Source organism: Homo sapiens, chromosome 3 (assembly GCF_000001405.40).
Source record: "Homo sapiens chromosome 3, GRCh38.p14 Primary Assembly".
In the NCBI taxonomy this organism is placed as follows: Eukaryota; Metazoa; Chordata; class Mammalia; order Primates; family Hominidae; genus Homo; species Homo sapiens.
In genome coordinates this window covers 71,183,360-71,202,056 of record NC_000003.12, presented here as the reverse complement: position 1 = coordinate 71,202,056, position 18,697 = coordinate 71,183,360, and the positions used below count along the sequence as shown (strand labels likewise).

The 18,697-nt window shown below is 41.4% G+C and overlaps 1 protein-coding gene across 12 annotated transcripts in view; it reads left to right on the top strand.

The window, feature by feature from the left end:
- FOXP1 (forkhead box P1) overlaps positions 1 to 18,697 on the top strand; it is a 629,271-nt gene that overhangs the window by 381,922 nt on the left and 228,652 nt on the right. For 11 of the 12 annotated variants that reach the window (NR_146143.3, NR_146142.3, NM_001244810.2 and 8 more), the window contains one exon: positions 3,665 to 3,855. Coding sequence is in view for 10 of the 12 variants with exons in the window: in NM_001244810.2 (NP_001231739.1) it covers positions 3,676 to 3,855 (180 nt within the window). In the remaining 2 variants the exon portion in view is untranslated. Of the gene's footprint in view, positions 1 to 3,664; positions 3,856 to 3,988; positions 4,176 to 18,697 lie in introns of those variants that run through there. The other variant, NM_001012505.2, reaches the window with a different exon arrangement.

The window sequence follows — 18,697 nt, the reverse complement described above, 5'->3', positions numbered from 1 at the left end:
CACCAAGGAAACAAAAGCAGGACCAATCTCTTAGACACCTGCTCTCAGGCCTGGGATCCCGATGGTCACATAGTCTGAAAGCAGCATTCTACCTGCAGTTCTCTTCCATCAGGACAGGATATTTGGCTAAATATTTATGCCTCATTCTTAGGGCAGGGATAGAGTTTATATATGTGCAATGTTGTTGTCTTTTGGGGATCAAGTCCCTGGTATGGGAAGGTATTCCCAGAAGGAAAAATATCTATATATATACATATTTTTAAATCTATATCTATAGATTTTTTCTTTATATATATTTGAGATATATCCCGATAATTAGATGGATTTCCTTGCTACCTACTCTAAGACAAATGCTCTCTTGCTTAAATACCTAACACTGTGCCTTTTCCTATAATTCTTTTTTTTTTCCCTCTCCCCGCCCCCTTTTTTCGAGACAGAGCCTTGCTCTGTTGCATGCTGTCTGCTCACTGCAACCTCTGCCTCCTGGGTTCAAGCAGTTCTCCTGCCTCAGCCTCCCGAGTAGCTGGGATTACAGGCATGTGCCACCATGCCCGGCTAATTTTTTTGTATTTTTAGTAGAGAGCAGTTTCACCATGTTGGCCAGGCTGGTCTCGAACTCCTGACCTCAAGTGATCTGCCTGCCTTGGCCTCCCAAAGTGCTGGGATTACAGGCATGAGCCACTGCACCCGGCTCTTTTCCTTTAGTTCTGTACAAAGGGGCAAGTTTGTGGAAGAGAGACTGAAACGCCCAGGGAAAAGTACCTAGGTTTCACTAATTCATTTCTTTTTTGGTGATGAACAAGGCACTCATGTTGTCACAAATTATCTTGTTACCTGATTCTTATATCTTAGGGAAGATTTTGGTTATTTTTGATAGACGCTTTACTCTGTGGACAGTAAGAATATAACTGCAATTTCTAAAGGACTGTAGTTATTAGAAAGTCTGATCTGAAGACATGAGAATGAAAAAATAATAATAGAAATCAAAAAATGAGAGTGAATCAGCTGTTACTTCTGAGTTTGTTTCCCACCTGCTAGTGAAAAATGCCATTCTCAATCCACTTTTGAATTGAATCAACTTAAAAAATATATACGTCTTTGGGTTTATGAAGAGTCTGTATCAAGTTGGATCATGCTATACAGTGAAAGGAAATGAAGAAACATGTGAATTTTTCTGCTTTTAATTTTTCCATTTGGTTTTTGTGCAAGTCTGTAGAAAACAGACTTCATCCAATTTCTAGCAAGAAAACAATGTCCTCTAAAGATACCCAAAGATTGAAATTTCCCTGTTGTCACATTTCATGTATGGGGCAGAAATCTGTAGCATTGGTTGTACATATGTCCTTCCACAATTGGAACACATTTGCCTAAAAATTTTCTGCCCTTTAATCTGGGATTGGTATTTCACATTAAAGTCTTAATTATTCAGGCATTTCTCAGCTTTCATGTTTGAACTCTTCACTTCCTTTAATGATTGTTGCTTTTCCTTTTCCAAATTCTGGTCTGTGAACTTGGAGTGTGAGCCTGCCGTTTTCATTGTTTTGCCCCCACTGAACCTCAACTTTAAAAATACACATTGTGGTAAAGGGCTTTGACTTAACTGAACTGCTTCAAATCCTGATTCCACCATTACTAGCTGTGACATGTAGTGGACAAACTAAATAACTTGTGGATCCTTAGTTTTCTCATCCGCAAACTGGGGGTAACAATCATCAGCAGCACTAAATTGGAGAATATGTGTAAATCACCTGCATTAGGGCCTGCCTGACCCAACACTGGTGATCAGTAGATGGTAGCAGTTGGTATTAGCAAATGCTATCTGTCTTTTCTCATCTTTGAACATCTTTTCTGAGCCAAGTGCTGAATCGGCTCTCTGGGATAATGGTTTTGTGCCCAGAGAGTAATAAGAGTGAATGTGAAATGTATTTACACCTAAGTGATATTTTCTCTCTTTTTTTTTTTTTTTTTTTTTTGTGAGATGGAGTCTCGCTCTGTAGCTCAGGCTGGAGTGCAGTGGTGCGATCTCAGCTCACTGCAACCTCCGCCTCCCAGGTCCCGGTTCAAGCAATTCTCCTGCCTTAGCCTCCTGAGTAGCTGGGATTACAGGTACACACCACCATGTCCAGCTAATTTTTGTATTTTTAGTAGAGGCAGGGTTTCACCATATTGGCCAGGCTGGTCTTGAACTCCTGACCTCGTGATCCACCCGCCTCGGCCTCCCAAAGTCCTGGGATTACAGGCGTGAGCCACCGCGCCTGGCCCTAAGTGATATTTTCTAGCTACTCATTTTGCACCCTATTTTTTTTTCTTTTGTTTTGAGACGGAGTCTCACCCTGTCACCTAGGCTGGAGTACAATGGCGTGATCTTGGCTCACTGCAACCTCCACCCCCTAGGTTCAAGCAATTCTCATGCCTCAGCTTCCCGAGTAGCTGGGATTAGAGGCACCTGTCACCATGACTGGCTAATTTTTTTTTTCTTTTTTTCTACTGTTAGTAGAGACAGGGTTTCACCATGTTGGCCAGACTGGTCTCGAACTCCTGACCTTAAGTGTTCCACCTGCCTCATCCTCCTAAAGTGCTGGGATTACAGGTGTGAGCCACCGCCCCCAGGCCTATATATATTTTTTCTATTAGAATTTTAGTACCTTAGGCCAGGTGCCATGGCTCACGAGGCCTGTAATCCCAGCACTTCGGGAGGCCGAGACGGGTGCATCACCTGAGGTCATGAGTTCAAAACCAGCCTGGCCAATATGGTGAAACCCTGTCTCTACTAAAAATACAAAAATTAGCTGGGCCTGGTGGTGGGCATCTGTAATCCCAGCTACTTGGGAGTCTGAAGCAGGAGAATTGCTTGAGCCCGGGAGGCGGAGGCAGTGAGCAGAGATAGCGCCACTGCACTTCATCCTCGGCGACAGAGCAAGGCTCTGTCTCAAAAAAAAAAAAAAAGTGTAATACCAACAAATAGTGCCTGCACATGTTAAAATTTAATGTTTATACCTAATATGCTCTATAGGATGACTTGCTGGTTTTTGAGCAAAGGAACCAGATAGAAGAAAAATTTAATCTTGGGCCCGGCGCAGTGGCTGCAATCCCAGTACTTTGGGAGGCCGAGGCGGGTGGATCACGAGGTCAGGAATTTGAGACCAGCCTAACCAACATGGTGAAACACCCCTTTCTTTACTAAAAATACACAAAAAATTAGCCGGGCATGGTGGCATGCACCTGTAATCCTAGCTACTCGGAGGCTGAGGCAGGAGAATCTCTTGAACCCGGGAGGTGGAGGTTGCAGTGAGCCGAGATTGCACCGCTGCACTCCAGCCTGGGCGACTGAGCCGTGCTCCATCTCAAAAAAAAAAAGAAAAAAGAAAAATTTAATCTTGAATTCTAGGTTTACTTACAAATACTAGTTTTTCTAAGGGTAAAAAAGTAATATATTTAAAACAATACTACTGAAACTTGAATTGGGAATGACAGTTTCAGACCCGAAACTAGGGGCATGGCCCACTAATGAGGGGATAAGTTGAGTGAAAGAAAATGACAACTGTTTACAGATTTTGGCAACATTTAAACCAAGGCCCTTCTCCTTATGCACAACAACTGCTTTAACAGCTGCTTTTTTTTTCTCCCCCCCTCCCTCCCCCCATCTTGGAAATCCTTGTATCAGGTTTTTGAGTCATGATGCAAGAATCTGGGACTGAGACAAAAAGTAACGGTTCAGCCATCCAGAATGGGTCGGGCGGCAGCAACCACTTACTAGAGTGCGGCGGTCTTCGGGAGGGGCGGTCCAACGGAGAGACGCCGGCCGTGGACATCGGGGCAGCTGACCTCGCCCACGCCCAGCAGCAGCAGCAACAGGTACTGGGCTTTGGAGTCTTGGGAGGTGGAGGTGGTGGGTGCGAATTTTACTGCTGAATTTTACACTTAATCGCGATCTCGCGATCAGTGTTTTGTGTTCACCTGTCTGTCCATCTGTCTTTCTGTCTGTCAGTGGCATCTCATAAACCATCAGCCCTCTAGGAGTCCCAGCAGTTGGCTTAAGAGACTAATTTCAAGCCCTTGGGAGTTGGAAGTCCTGCAGGTCCCCTTGTGGGGAGCAGTTGCTGAGACGAAGATGAGTGGACCTGTGTGTCAGCCTAACCCTTCCCCATTTTGAATAAAATTATTCTTTGGAGAAATGGTTCCCACTGCTTTCATGCAAAAATAAAAATTAAACGAAAAACAGGCTTAAGCCTGTGAAGAAGGAAATAAGAGCTAAGGAATAAAAGAGAGAAAAAGAGTAGATGAGTAAGGAGAGTTGAAATAAATACATAGAAAGACAGGCGGAGATGGCGAGATAACAGCCAAAACATCTAGAACACGGGCATCACTGTAGGAAGCTGCTTCCCTCTACGAGTAGGATTTGGGGGTATAGAGTATTTACATATGTTCCCTGTATTCATGCAGCACTGGGTTTGTGGCTAAGTCTTACTGCTTTAAATTAGCTCTTATTGGTGCCTCCCCAAAATGTACATAAGTTGGGATGTACTCATTCCTGTTAGTTATACTTTTTACAGGTATGGACCTGGGTACCTGTGAGTGACTGGTAAAATATTTCCGAATGGTACAGGCGACCCAAGAAATAGTGTTCTGTTGTCAAAGTGTTGATAAATATTCAAATAAGTAAACAACATTTGCTTGAAGACTGGCTTTGGTTTTCCCGCCTTTCCTGATTCCTCGGAATCAGGAAATATTATTAGGCTTTGTTAATAATAATAGATGGTTTATGACCGGTTTTGTTCTTGATTTACTTATTCAAAACATAGTTATGGCGCCACTCAGAAACAGGTGAATTAAAAAGAATGAAGTATCTTTGGGCCTTTCTGAAAGCTGCAGGAACTCTTGTGGGGAGGAAGAAGATAGGGACAAAGTGCTCAAACCATTTTCTTGGAATCTGTGTCAGAGAAGCTAAGCTTGTTTGGGATGCAACTTGGAGACAAGCTATAAAGCATGTTTTATTTTCTCCTTGCGAAGAGTTTTTTAAGGAATAAGGAATGATTAGACTGTTAGCTCCTTACAAGGTGGTGGAACCAACATGAGCCTGTGGAACCTGTTGGGAGAAAGATGCAACAAAGCGAAAGAAAGGAAAAGTAACAGACCAGCAAAAGTCTTAATTCAGAGGACTTCCTGCAAGTGATTTGATCTTTCTTTCATTGGCAGCCCAAACCCATTTGTGCCTGCACCACTGGCTCACTTCAGCTGGAATTTGTGATGCTTGTTGTGTATAAACTTTGTGCATTTAAGTTAGTGCAGATGGCCAAATTCCAACCAGTGAGGTTGTTAGCAAAACCCAGCAGTAGATAGTAAAAGGGTCTCCGTGTATTTGTGCAAGTACATGTTCATGTGATGTTCTCAGCCATTTTATTCAGAACAAATAGTTAATGTTGCTGAATGCTATCTTCTGTGCCCTTACCAGACAAGTGTCAAGATTGCCCATTTCTTTATGAAGCACTTGAGCACTTGATATGGGGCTACTACTGACTGATGTGATACTAAATAATTAATATTTAGAGTACATTAATTACATAAATGGGAAATTCTGATTTTTTTTGAGGAGCTAAAAATCATTCAGGATCTCAAAGTAGTAAGCCAGCCAAAAAACTTTACATATAAACCATCAAAACATGTGCACACACACATGCGCCCACACACACAACAGTGATAACAAATTGGCTACATAGAATAAAATTATAAAAGCATATTTCACCAACATCTTCCTTAAAAAGTATCAGTTGCAAACATATTTATCCACATCTTCCTTTGGCTGTGTCCACTTTGGAAAATTTGTTGTTATGGGTTATTGACACAAAGGTCAAGAAATGTATTATGATTAGACTTTTATACTGTTTTTAAATGTTTTTATGACAGTTTTTTCTCCGTATGTCGTTGACACATTTTGGGAAGAAACAAAGCAGTGGGGTCTATCACTGTGGCTAAAACCCCCTGTATTGTGATTAGCAAAGCCTTTTGAAGTCTTTTAAAATATAACATTGACAGCTGTTCAACTCCCCTAAGTATATGATAAGGCTTTTAACAGGTTGTTGGGGAAAAGGGAAATCTGTAGATGAAATAAGAAAAACTACAGGCCTGAAAATATTTCTACAGGACTAGAGTTATCAGAGTTTTCTTCCAGACTGAAAACTGCGACAATTAGACAGTTTGGAGAAATGTGAGCATTCTACAATGGACTATGGTTGTTTTCATCATTTTTATTCTACAGGTTTTTACTTGAAGTGAGAATACCAGCAGTGAGAAAATCATAGCCATGCTGAATTCATTACTGCGGTAGTCACACAAAACCACGGATAAAATTTCAATAACTGCAGGCCACAGTTGAGTAAACAGTTGCACTGAAATTTAATTCCTGTTGACTTTTCCCCCATTCCTCGCCAGGGGCACATTCAGATTCCGTAGTACAAAGACAACAGGGGTTACAGCTTTGATTAATGTAGGACAGTGGAAGAGAATTAGAACTGTAAAATATGTTAGAAGTCCATGGAACACAAAGATCTGGCTTAAAAGGGCCTGGTATAAAAACGAGTTAATTACGCTGTGTGTTATATTGAATGTTGGAGGATTTTCCAGTTGCACCAATACCATCATTGAGGATACGGGGAGAGTTTTTACTCAGTGCCAGGATATAAAATAAATAAATGCAAACCTTTCCATGTTTGCTTCATATTATCAAAGATAATTACAAATTACAGCAAATGCCGTTTTCAGAATGGGAGGGCCCTGACAAAGATTCACTATGGAGTGCACTAGTTCCATAGTGAGTTTTGTTTATAGGTTGGCTTAATTGCGTTCAAATGGTATTGTCATTTCTAAAAATTAGTTAGTTGACAACCTAGAGAAATGGGGCAAATCTGGCTTTTCCATCTTCTTTTGAAAAATTAGAATATCTGGTAACCTTGGGCTGATAGTCCCACAACGGCAACAATTGTTGGGAGATGAATTGCTATTGAAGACAGGGAGCCCTCCAGCCTGCTCTCGTTCCCACCAGCAGCATTGCTCATTTATGCCTCTAGGTAGCGGAGTTGGCGATTCTGGGCTGGAAGGTAGACTCATCACTCAGAAGCCATCAGCCCAAGAGAGGTGCTGCCATTAGCTGGTAGAGCCCGCCAACACACTCACAAACTGTCTTTCTTCCTCAAGACTAAATGTATTATCTCTGTAATGTTTCAACTCTATTTATGTCTGAGCCATGAAACTATTATAACAATAGTTTTCTAATAATATAATTTGATAGAGTTTCTGAACATTTTCTTTTATCTGTTGAGTAATTCTTTACCCGATACCATAACTGCTTTTTATTTCCTATTATCCCTGCACCATTTCTATGTCTGTAAAAGTTGTATTGGATGTGCACTGCTCCATTATGAAACTCAGCAACAAATACTATTAGCAATTACTAAAGTTTTTTTTTTCCTTAAAGAAAGGATTTTAAAATGTCCAGAACAATTTCATAAACTGTGTGGATTAATGCATTTTAAAAGTCTTGAATTTTAGAAAGCAGAATTTTATTTCCATATTGCTGCAAATGAGAGCTTTTTCAGATAAGCATATTACATAGAGCATAATGTTTAGAAGTTTCTCCATATACAGCATATGCTGTCAGGTCAATTAACAGAATGCATACTAGAAAATGTTTATTCAATAAAAATGAATAGCTGTTAAATAAAACAGCTATTTCTTAACAACATTCCATTTAATGATGAGGTTTTTGTGGGGTTTCTTTCTTTCTTTTTTTTTTTTTTTTGGTACCACCTGGCAGTTTTATTGTCTGCAAGTCAGTATAGAGAGAGCTTTGGTTGCTGCAGTTCTGAGGTGTGGCTATCATTTTATATGAAGAGAGCAGTTTAGAGGGAATCTGTGAGAAAAAACTTTTAAGATATGCCATATTTAGAATTTGAACATGTATTATTTAGAAAGTGTGGATAAGCAAAGTGTTTACTTCCCGTGGCTTCTTTCTTTGACATCTGGTTTAAGGTGTTGGGTCTTGTGGCCCAGAAGACAGTGAGTATGTTTTAAGTTAACAATGTAAAAGAAGGAGAGAAAATGTGAAATGACTAGCAAGGAGGTGGGAACGGTAGATAGGGAACTTCTCTTGAAAAAGAAGAAGGGGAGTAAAGAGGACCCATCGGGTTGAATTTTTCCAATGAACCATTGAAGGAGGTCAAAGATTAGTCATTTCCCAGAACGCAAGAAGCTCAGAGAAATGGGTGGGACTCAGGCAAAGAGTCTAGTTATGTACATTCAAAGGGGATGTAGAGGCTGTCTGTGGTGGCTCATGCCTGTAATCCCAGCACTTAGGGAGGCCGAGGCGGGCTGATCACTTGGGGCCAGGAGTTGGAGACCAGCCTGGCCAACATGGCAAAACCCCATCTCTACTAAAAATACAAAAATTAGCTGGGCATGGTGGTGCACGATTGTAGTCCCAGCTACTCAGGAGGCTGAGGCAGGAGAATCACTTGAACCTGGGAGGCAGAGGTTGCAGTGAGCCAAGGTTGCACCACTGCACTCCAGCCTGGGCGACAAAGTGAGAATATGTCTAAAAAAAAAAAACAAATAACGGCTGGGCGCAGTGGCTCACGCCTGTAATCCCAGCACTTTGGGAGGCTGAGGAGGGCAGATCACGAGGTCAGGAGATTGAGACCATCCTGGCTAACATGGTGAAACCCCGCCTCTACTAAAAAATACAAAAAATTAGCCGGGTGTGGTGGTGGGCGCCTGCAGTCCCAGCTACTCTGGAGGCTGAGGTAGGAGAATGGCGTGAACCTGGGAGGCGGAGCTTGCAGTGAGCCGAGATCCCACCACTGCACTCCAGCCTGGGCAACAGAGCAAGACTCCGTCTCAAAAAAAAAACACAAATAAACAACAACAACAACAACAACAAACAAAGGGGATGTAGAAAATACAGTGCCAGAGGAACCTGAGAGAATCAGGAATTGATATCCCAGGGTCCTCTGAACATGGGAAATGGTATTTGAGGGACCATAGTATCAGTGTTTTAAGTGGGGGAGGAGGGTAGAAATACTTTTTTCTTTTCAGCATAAAGAAATATACAAGCAGGCTGCGTGCAGTGTCTCATGCCTGTAATCCCACCATTTTGGGAGGGCAAGGCGGGCAGATTCCTTGAGCTGAGGAGTTTGAGACTAGCCTGGGCAGCATGGCAAAACCTCGTCTCTACAAAAAATGCAAAAGTTATCTAGGGGTGATGGCACATGCCTGTGGTCCCAGCTACTCATGAGGCTGAGGTGGGAGGATCCCTTGAGCATGGGAGGTCGAGGCCGCAGTGAACTGAGATCTTGCCACTGCACTCCAGCCTGGGCTGGGTGACAGATTGAGACCCTGTTTCAAGAAACAAAAAATACACAAGCAAATGAAAATTATTTTCTTCACATTCAAAATGGCAAAATCCATCCCTTCATTAGTTTTTGTTAGTGAAATTGCTGGTGGACATTGAGTAGAAGAAGAAAGCTGTCTCACAAACATTTCCAGCTTTTTAACTGCCTCTGTGAGAAACAATGCCTGCAAGAAATAGCTGTTGGTGTCTGTACTGGCAGCAACCACCACTGGATGAAGGTGCTTATTGCATCTCATTCTTTGGATCTCATTTTTACCCATAGGCCTCTGGGGCACCATATTAAAATTCCAGAGGCCATTCCTGGCCTTGTTTCATACCTTATGGGAAATGACGCAGGTTATATGGTATGGATCTATAGGTGTAAAGACTGGGTAGCAATGGCTGGATTGGCCGTACCATTCTACCACTTTTTTCTTTGAAAAAGGTGGCTTATGAACTTTGTTAGAAATGCCCTCAATTGGCCTTTCCCGTTGTAGCTGCTGGAGACTGACTGTGTCTGAAAGGAGGGTCTCTTGATGCTGACAGGGAAAAGCTGATCAGCACCTCTGTGTCCTAGAAGGGGAACTTCCAGAAAGGGGGCATAGAAGAAGGTATTATTAGTATTTATTGAATGCTTTCATGGGGCCAGGTACTGTGCTGGGGGCTAGCACCTTCCCTTGCTAGTAGGTAAAAACCCAGCTGTAATTTTAAAGGAATTGCTATGCTGAGATACACTTTTATTGAAGACCTTGCATAGTTCAAATAACGTGAAAAGTATTGATGGTCAAAAATATTTTGTGTAGGAATCAATGCCACCAAAATGTTAGTGATAACCGTACAAACAAATTGAAACAAAACTGAGACAGGATTCAGATAATTCTGACAAATAAAGAAAAAGCAGCCACAACACTGACCCCCCAACATGTTCTTAATTCCCTTTGGGGCTGTTTCTAGAAAAGGCATATTTCACCCTGAATGCTAAATTTAGTTCTCTACTCTGTTAGTTTAGACCTGCCTTCCATCAAAATATTGTTGTCAAAGATTTATGTAACTTGTGATTTGAGCCTTGTATGAAATTCTTTCAAGTTTTGATTACTAAACAGTTATGTGTCATTAATCTCTCCATTGAAAATTAAAATGGCACAAGAAGCAAAAGAAGAAAAAAGACCTGTAACAGAGGAGAATGTGGTAATAGAAAGCCAGGTGCCACATTTCATTATGAGTGAAGTGTACCCTCTTGACTTCAAGAGAAAGCTTTGCCACTTTGAAAAGATAATTTTAAGCCCTGACCGGTGAGCTAATAAAAATAATCATAAAAAAAGAACGCCCTATCTCTTGTCTACTCACAAGTCTGTTTTTGAACTTTCAGGAGGTATGACTTTAATGGTAATTTGTTGACAGATTAGTTTCAGTGATTGCCAAGAGTTTGTTTTTGCAGAACTGGCAGGTCCTATCTGCTCTCTGAAGGCAAGGAACCTACTTTGCTGTTTTGCAATGGCTTGCGTTTATCAACAACTAGTGCTGAGCAGGCAGAATTGGAATGTTTATATAATGTAAACCTATAGCTCGCCTGATGGAGTCTAGTGTACTTTTAGGTAGTGCATAGATTACTTGATAAAAAGGGTTACAAGGTGACTGCTTTTATGACAAAGAAGAATAGCAATATAAATGCCAGTGGTACACTGAGCCACAAGAAGGAAGTTTATGTAGGGAATTGAACCCCATGTTAGAAAGTTTCTTTTCATCACTTTGTCTTTGAACTCAAATCTATTGTAATTATGAAGTGTTACTTGTAACATTCCAGAGACCCTTTGCTAAATACTGTGTTTGATTTGATTCATAAAAATAGAGCCACATTATCTCCCCTCCCCTGCCGACAAGAAAATGTCATGAAGAGTTTCCCATACTGACCTTGTCTCAGCTTTGTTGCAAGTGGGCTCATAAGTGAGCTCCACTAGAAAACAGCTGCAATTTATTTCTTTGATCATTTGCATATTTTCATTTAACTTTTTCTTTTTTTTTTTTTTTTTTTTTTTGGAGATGGGGTCTAGCTCGGTCACCCAGGTTAGAGTACAGAGAGTACAGGGTTGCGATCATGGCTTACATGGCTTACTGAAGGCTTTACCTCCCCGGGCTCAAGCGATTCTCCCACCATCAGGCTTCTGAGTTGCTGGGACGGCAGGCCAGCTGTTTTTTTTTTGTTGTTGTTTTTCTTTTTGTTTTCCTGTAGAGATATGGGTCTCACTATATTGCCTAGGCTGGTCTTGAACTCCTGGGCTCAAGCGATCCTCCTGCCTCAGCCTCCCAAAGTGCCAGGATTACAGACATGTGCCACCACACCCAGCCTCATTTAACTATTATTTATTGAGCCTCCGTATGTGGAAGAAAATGGGGGTGGAGGGGGAACTGATATGTTAGGTGCTAGGAAAACATGGGAGAATAACTTAGAGTTTACTTAGCTAGATCCCGAAGAATAACTATGGAGGCAGTAGGAAGATGGGAAGATGGTGAAAAGGCAGATTGGGTTCGGCTTATGGGAGGGTTCTAAGTAGAGAAGAAAGATCATATAAGAGGTGGTGTATTAAAAGTAAATGAGAAGGTTGAACCTAGCTGGCTTGGAAGGGAAGAAATCCCGGAGAGATGAGTGGCCATGACAGCGCTACTGCAGTTGGTCTGACATTTAGTAATCGGCCACTAACGTGGCCCCAGTGAATTGAGGGCACCCTGTTGTTGATCCCTCCTGGCTTCTTGAACATCTCCTCCTCCATCTGAATCCCTTAGTGAAGTCTAGGTTCCATCAGGGAATGGGGGCCGGGATCACCTTCCTCATTACCTGGTACTTCCACAGCACACAGCACAGTACCTGATGTAGGGCAGTTCTGTGACAGACTATTTATGAATGAGTGACACAGAAAGAGAAAGGAAGGACTGGATAAGAAGAGATTGTTGAGGGGAGTGTTGGGAAAAACAGGACCTTTTGAATTATGAGGTATGCAAATACCAAGGAGTGGGAGTTACCAATGATGAGTCAGGATGTTCCATCTTAATGACTGGCAAAATGGGGGCACCAATGAAACAGAAAGAGAGAGGCATGGGGAAGAACCTGAACTCCTTTCTTAGCTGCCACTAGGAGGTTAAGAACTTATAATAAAGGATGGGCTTATTTTGAAAAAGTCATTTTTTAAAAAGACTTCTACAGAAAGACATTCTGTGTAGCTAAAACTCACTATTTTGATTGCATATGTTTATTTGTGTTAAAATTATCAAGTATTTTCCATTTAGCCTTTGACAGTTACTAATGAATACATCTTCCAAAAGTCACATGGGAAGTACTGATAAAATGCTTGTGTTCCCATTGATCATGGAATGGGCTTATCTCTTTGAGAGAACAAAACTATGAAGTTAGATCTTTGATAAAGTCTTTGTTCCATATTGACACAAGCTTCTTATAATGACTTTGTTTTTAAGGTGGTGGGGGAGCGTATGTTGTGTTTCTTTTGTTGGAAAAGTACAATGTGCAATTATTAAACAGCTGGTGCTATTGGAAGACTCATTTAGGAGGTATAGATTAAACTGCCTGGGGACATAAAGGCCCAGTCTTCTTTGTGTATTTAAATTTAGCCATGCCCAGAGAGGGAAGGCAGGAAGCAAGCTCTGTTTTTCTCTTTAGTCCTTCCATGTGGACATTTTGCAGGATCTTCTGCATAAACTGATAGTGCAGATACCAACTGTGGAGGATATTGGATTTTTTTTTAAGGTTGGTAACCCTGTGTTCCCCTTGAATTAACTATTTTATCCCTATTGTTAGACAGCTCCTTTTTGACTGTACCAAAAATAAAATGAACTTCCTAACACATATTAATCTTCAGCAAAGTTTCTTCAGGTAGACCATTAATTTCAGAATTTATTATCCACACAAACACAACTGAGTTGTCAGTATCACAGCCACCTATTAAAAGAGACAAAGCAGCTGGTGGCTCACGCCTGTAATCCCCTTTGGAGGGCGAGGTGGGCGGATCACCTGAGGTCAGGAGTTCGAGACCAGCCTAGCCAACATGGCGAAACCCCATCTCTACTGAAAGTACAAAAATTAGCCGGGCGTGTTGGCATCCACCTGTGATCCCAGCTACTACTCAGGAGGCTGAGGCAGGAGAATCACTTGAACCTGGGAGGCAGAGGTTGCAGTGAGCCGAGATTGTGCCACTGCACTCCAGCCTGGGCTACAAGAGCGAGAGTCCATCTCAAAAAAAAAAAAGGAAAAAAAAAATAAAGAAAAAAAGAGGCAAAGCATCCACTGATCCTACATTCGTGTTTTTATCACATTACCTTGTCTCATCTTCAACTTCGGTCTCTCCACATTGAAGGGAAGGTGACATGATGTCTTCTTAGTCATTCAAATCCAATAACTTTTAATCTGAAGGTTAAGTAGTGAGATATAAACTAAGAGATGATAATATCAATTTTATGTTCACTGAAGGGCACAATATACCTCTTCCTAGTAGAGGGAAAATTGTGCGTAAAATGTCTTTTGCTTTTCAACAGCAGAGTCATGCCTCTCAGAGCCAAAGGAAGGAATATTTTTGGAAAAAATTAACAAAATAAGAGGTAGCATCCTAAAGCAGGGCAAAAGTGACTTTTTATTATTATAATTATTAAGTGTTAATTTTTCAGGGCTGCATGATACGAAGTAGTTCTCTTTATAGCCTCCTGTATTCACTCTTGATATACCCTTTACAAACTCAACAACCTTTTACAAGGTTAAAGACTGGGAGAGAATGACATAATGCTCTTTCTTTCCTGACTATTTTTAGTCCTAATGTGTATGATAAATAATACTGTGATAATATTGCTTACCTTTCCTCATTTTTTTCTTCCTATGGATGATATTTCCATTTCAACTCAGTAGGAATTCAACATCCAAAAGCATTAAGTGAAAATGCATTTACAGTGTGTATTTTTATGATTATATTCTGATTTTTCTCATTCAATTTCTATTTCTTATAAACACAAAGTTTTGTGCTGTGTGCTATATGTATATATCACATGTATTTATATAGACTTACTGTATCATTAGTAGTTTTTTTGTTTTTTGAGATGGAGTTTCACTCTTGTCGCCCAGGCTGGAGTGCAATGGTGCGATCTCAGCTCACTGCAGCCTTTGCCTCCCAGGTTCAAGTGATTCTCCTGCCTCAGCTTCCCTAGTAGCTGGGATTTCAGATGTGCGCCACCATGCCCACAATTTTGTATTTTTAGTAGAGACAGGGTTTCACCATGTTGTCCAAGCTGGTCTCAAACTCCTGACCTCAGGTGATCCACCCGCCTCAGCCTCCCAAAGTGCTGGGATTATAGGTGTAAGCCACCACCCCCAGCCCATTAATAGGTTCTTGGGACAGGAAAAGCATCACGCATAAGCTGAGTATGTGACATTCACAGTTATAATTATCAAGATTATATTCTGTAATGTAGTGATTCACAATTGTAATTGTCAAGATTGCATTCTGTACATAATTTTAAACTTGTCTCAGCTGTTCATTCAGTACCTTCTTTGAGTAGGGGCTAGGTATAAGGCACTATAACTCTGCAGACTACACCAGGAATCAGCAAACTGGCCCTTGGGCCAGATCCAGCCTGCCACCTAGTAAATAAAAGTTCTGTTGAAACACAGCCACACCCGCTTGCCTACTGTTGCCTATAACTGCGTTCATGCTGCAGCAGCAGAGGTGAGTTGTTGCAACAGAGATTGTGTGGCTCACAAAGCCTAAGATATTAATCTGACACTCTGCAGAAAGTTTGTCAATCTCTGGATTAATGAATGGCAGATGTGACAAGATTTGCCTTCTACAGACTTCTACCCTTACTTTACAGTGACAAAACTGAGGAAGCATTCGTCACTCTTTTCTAAATTCTCTCTGAAAAATATCTATTTATTTATACTATATATATTTGTTTGTTTGTTTGTTCGTTTGAGACGGAGTCTTGCTCTGTTGCCAGGCTGGAGTACAGTGGCCCTGTCTCAGCTCACTGCAACCTCCACCTCCCGGGTTCAAGAGATTCTCCTGTCTCAGCCTCCCAAGTAGCTGGGACTACAGGCTTGCGCCACCACACCCAGCTAATTTTTGTATTTTTAGTAGAAACGGAGTTTCACCATGTTGGCCAGGATGGTCTCGATCTCTTGACCTCGTGATCCGCCTGCCTCGGCTTCCCAAAGTGCTGGGATTACAGGCGTGAGCCACCGCACCTGGCCATAGGTATACTATTGTTTAAGACTTTGTTTCACAATTTCTGGAGTGGCAAAATTACTTCTAATTGTCATCATTCCTCTAGAGTTCCTTTCTAATCATTCAGCTGACAGCATCTTACAAGATAAAAGTTTTGACGTTATTGGTGGTTAAAAGAATCTTCAGCCAGTCTAGTAAGGAAATGGAGGTTGGACTCACTTAGTGAGTCACTCACAGAGCAGACAGATGTCCTTGGCCCTGGCTCCATGCCAAAGAAAATTAACATAAAAACATAACCTATCTTATGTTCATAGTCCTATAGTTGGCTAGAGGATATAAAAATATATTATTCTCAGTATCACCCTGCATTCAAAGATTTCATAATTTAGTAAAGGTGCAGTAAGACATAAACAGATAACATGAAAAGTTCTTACAATTTTTAAAGCAAATTGAAGATAAACTGTAGAAGAGATGTATATGACTAATTGATAGGTGAGTGATTTAGGTAATAAATCTTCAGTAGCCAGGAGAGGATGAATCTGTGTCTATGTTGGTGGGATTCTAGACCTTGGTGAAGTTAGGAAAGAGTCTCAGTATGTGCACATCTGCTGATTTGTTTTAACCTCTTCCATCAGGAGATAATGGATGGTAAGTATACACTGAACTATATGGGTTTGGCTTCTGACTTAGAGATTTTAAAGGCCCCAAAGCTGTGTCTTTTCCATTTTGCCATTTTAAATTTTGAGACAAGTAAGTTTGGATTTGCACTTGGAAAGACTAGAGGCACATGGTGAGGAGAGGTCTTCTTATACCATACTGTAGCATCTGAGCTTATTGGTCTCCAGGAAATGGCCTGGGACTATCTGTCTACCCAGGTGCAAAGTTGATTGTACGATTTCCAGAGATTAGATGTGGGCTGACAAGTGTGATAATTTAGTTGGTGTTGTCCATATTTCACAAACGTTTATATTGAATTTTAGCTAATTTACCTCTATTGATAATGGAGCTGAAATAACTGAAACCATAATACCTAATTTAAAAATAGTTGCCAAATTCGAAGGCATTTGCTCAATTTAGTTGTTTATGAACTGACAGGATTTCTGAAGAGATGGTGTTGCCCTTGTATTTTCTCCCTTCCAACTTTTCTTCTTTCCCTTCTTACTTTCTTGATTCTGTTTTTAAGTTTGTAATTGGATCACTTATATCTCACAATTTGCAAAAATCTGTACTGGCATAGTTCATGTTTCTAATACTTTTTTTTTTTGAGACGGAGTCGTGGTCTGTCATCCAGTCTAGAGTGCAATGGCTTGATCTCGGCTCACTGCAACCTCTGCCTCCCGTGTTCAAGCAATTCTTGTGCCTCAGCCTCCTGAGTAGCTGGGATTACAGGCTACTGCCACCACACCTGGCTAATTTTTGTATTTTTAGTAGAGATGGGGTTTCATCATATTGGCCAGGCTGATCTGGAACTCCTGACCTCAGGTGATCCGCCTGCCTTGGCCTCCCAAAGTGCTAGGATTACAGGCGTGAGCCACCACACCCAGCCTCTAATACCATCATTTTTATGTTTTGCAGGTTTATGGCCCCTCCTTTGTGAATTTGATGAAACCCAAATAACTTTTTCCCTGAAAAGTGTGTTTGTATGTGTAATTTTGCGATTGCAATTTCATCTACAATATGCCCCCCCCAAAAAAAAAAACGTTACACAGCTATTCTGTATGTTAATTAGATTTGCCAAATGTTTCAATCTTTTGACAAATACTCTTAGGCTTTTCTATGATTAGTTGATGTTAACTATGTTAGTGACCTGTCTATCTTTAATTTGGAAAAGGGTTCCTCTTTTGGAAGAATGCTTCCCAGTATGTCCCTGGAATAATTTCTCAGGTATTTAAAATGTAGCACTGTACACGCCAGCTCTGAAGCAAACTCTGGAAAGTAAGGTCATATAAAGCAATCTGTACCAAGAGCCATTTCATGTCTATTGAAATGTAAACACCAGATTTACACACTCTTGAAATTCTTCTAACTACAGAACCCTATAAACCAGTTGAAAGATCTTTGACTAAATGAGCACAGATTACAGTAAGTGCACAGACAACCCCTTATAGGGCTGAAGGCAGTGTAAATTTGTACACCCTATTCTGAGGGTATTTTGGCATTGGACATCAAGAGGCTTAAAACAGCCACACCCTTTGAATCAGGGATACAATTTTACTGAGTGGCTCTATGGCAGTCAGCAGTGGTTCTCAAACTTTTATGTGCGTGAGCATCATCTGAAGGGCTTTTTTGTTTGTTTGTTTGTTTTTGAGACAGTCTTGCTCTTGTTGCCCAGGCTGGAGTGCAATGGCGTGATCTCAGCTTACCACAACCTCCGCCTCCCAGGTTCAAGTGATTCTCCTGCCTCAGCCTCTCAAGTAGCTAGGATTACAGGCATGCACCACCTCGCCGGGCTAATTTTTTATTTTTAGTAGAGACAGGGTTTCTCCATGTTGGTCAGGCTGGTCTCGAAGTCCCAACCTCAGGTGATCTTCCCACCTCGGCCTCCCAAAGTGCTGGGATTACAGACGTGAGCCACCACGCCAGGCGCTGGAGGGCTTCTTAAAACATAGATTACTGGACCCACCCCTAAAGTACTTTATTCTGTAGATCTGGGGCAGGGCCTCCAAATTTGCATATCTATTTCTAGCTCTTCTTTGCTGCCAGTTGAAGAACCACTGGCAGAGTTTAACAGCATAGACTGTGGAGTCAGTATGTTTGGCCTGAGTCATGGCTCTGCCACTTGCTAGTTGGGTGACTGTGTAAGTTTCTCTGTGCCTCAGTTTATATATCCATCAAACGGAAATAATTTTAGCATTTAATAGTCTAAATAAAATGTATCATGCTTGGAAGTTTGCACACCACATGGTAAATTGTCTGCAAACATTAGCTTTTGGGTTTTTTTTGTTTTGTTTTGTTTTTGAGACAGGGTGTTACTCTGTCGCCCAGACTGCAGTGCAGTGGGGCCATCTCGGCTCACTGCAACCTCCGCCTCCTGGGTTCAAGCGATTCTCCTCCCTCAGCCTCCTGAGTAGCTGGGATTGCAGGCTCGCGCCACTAT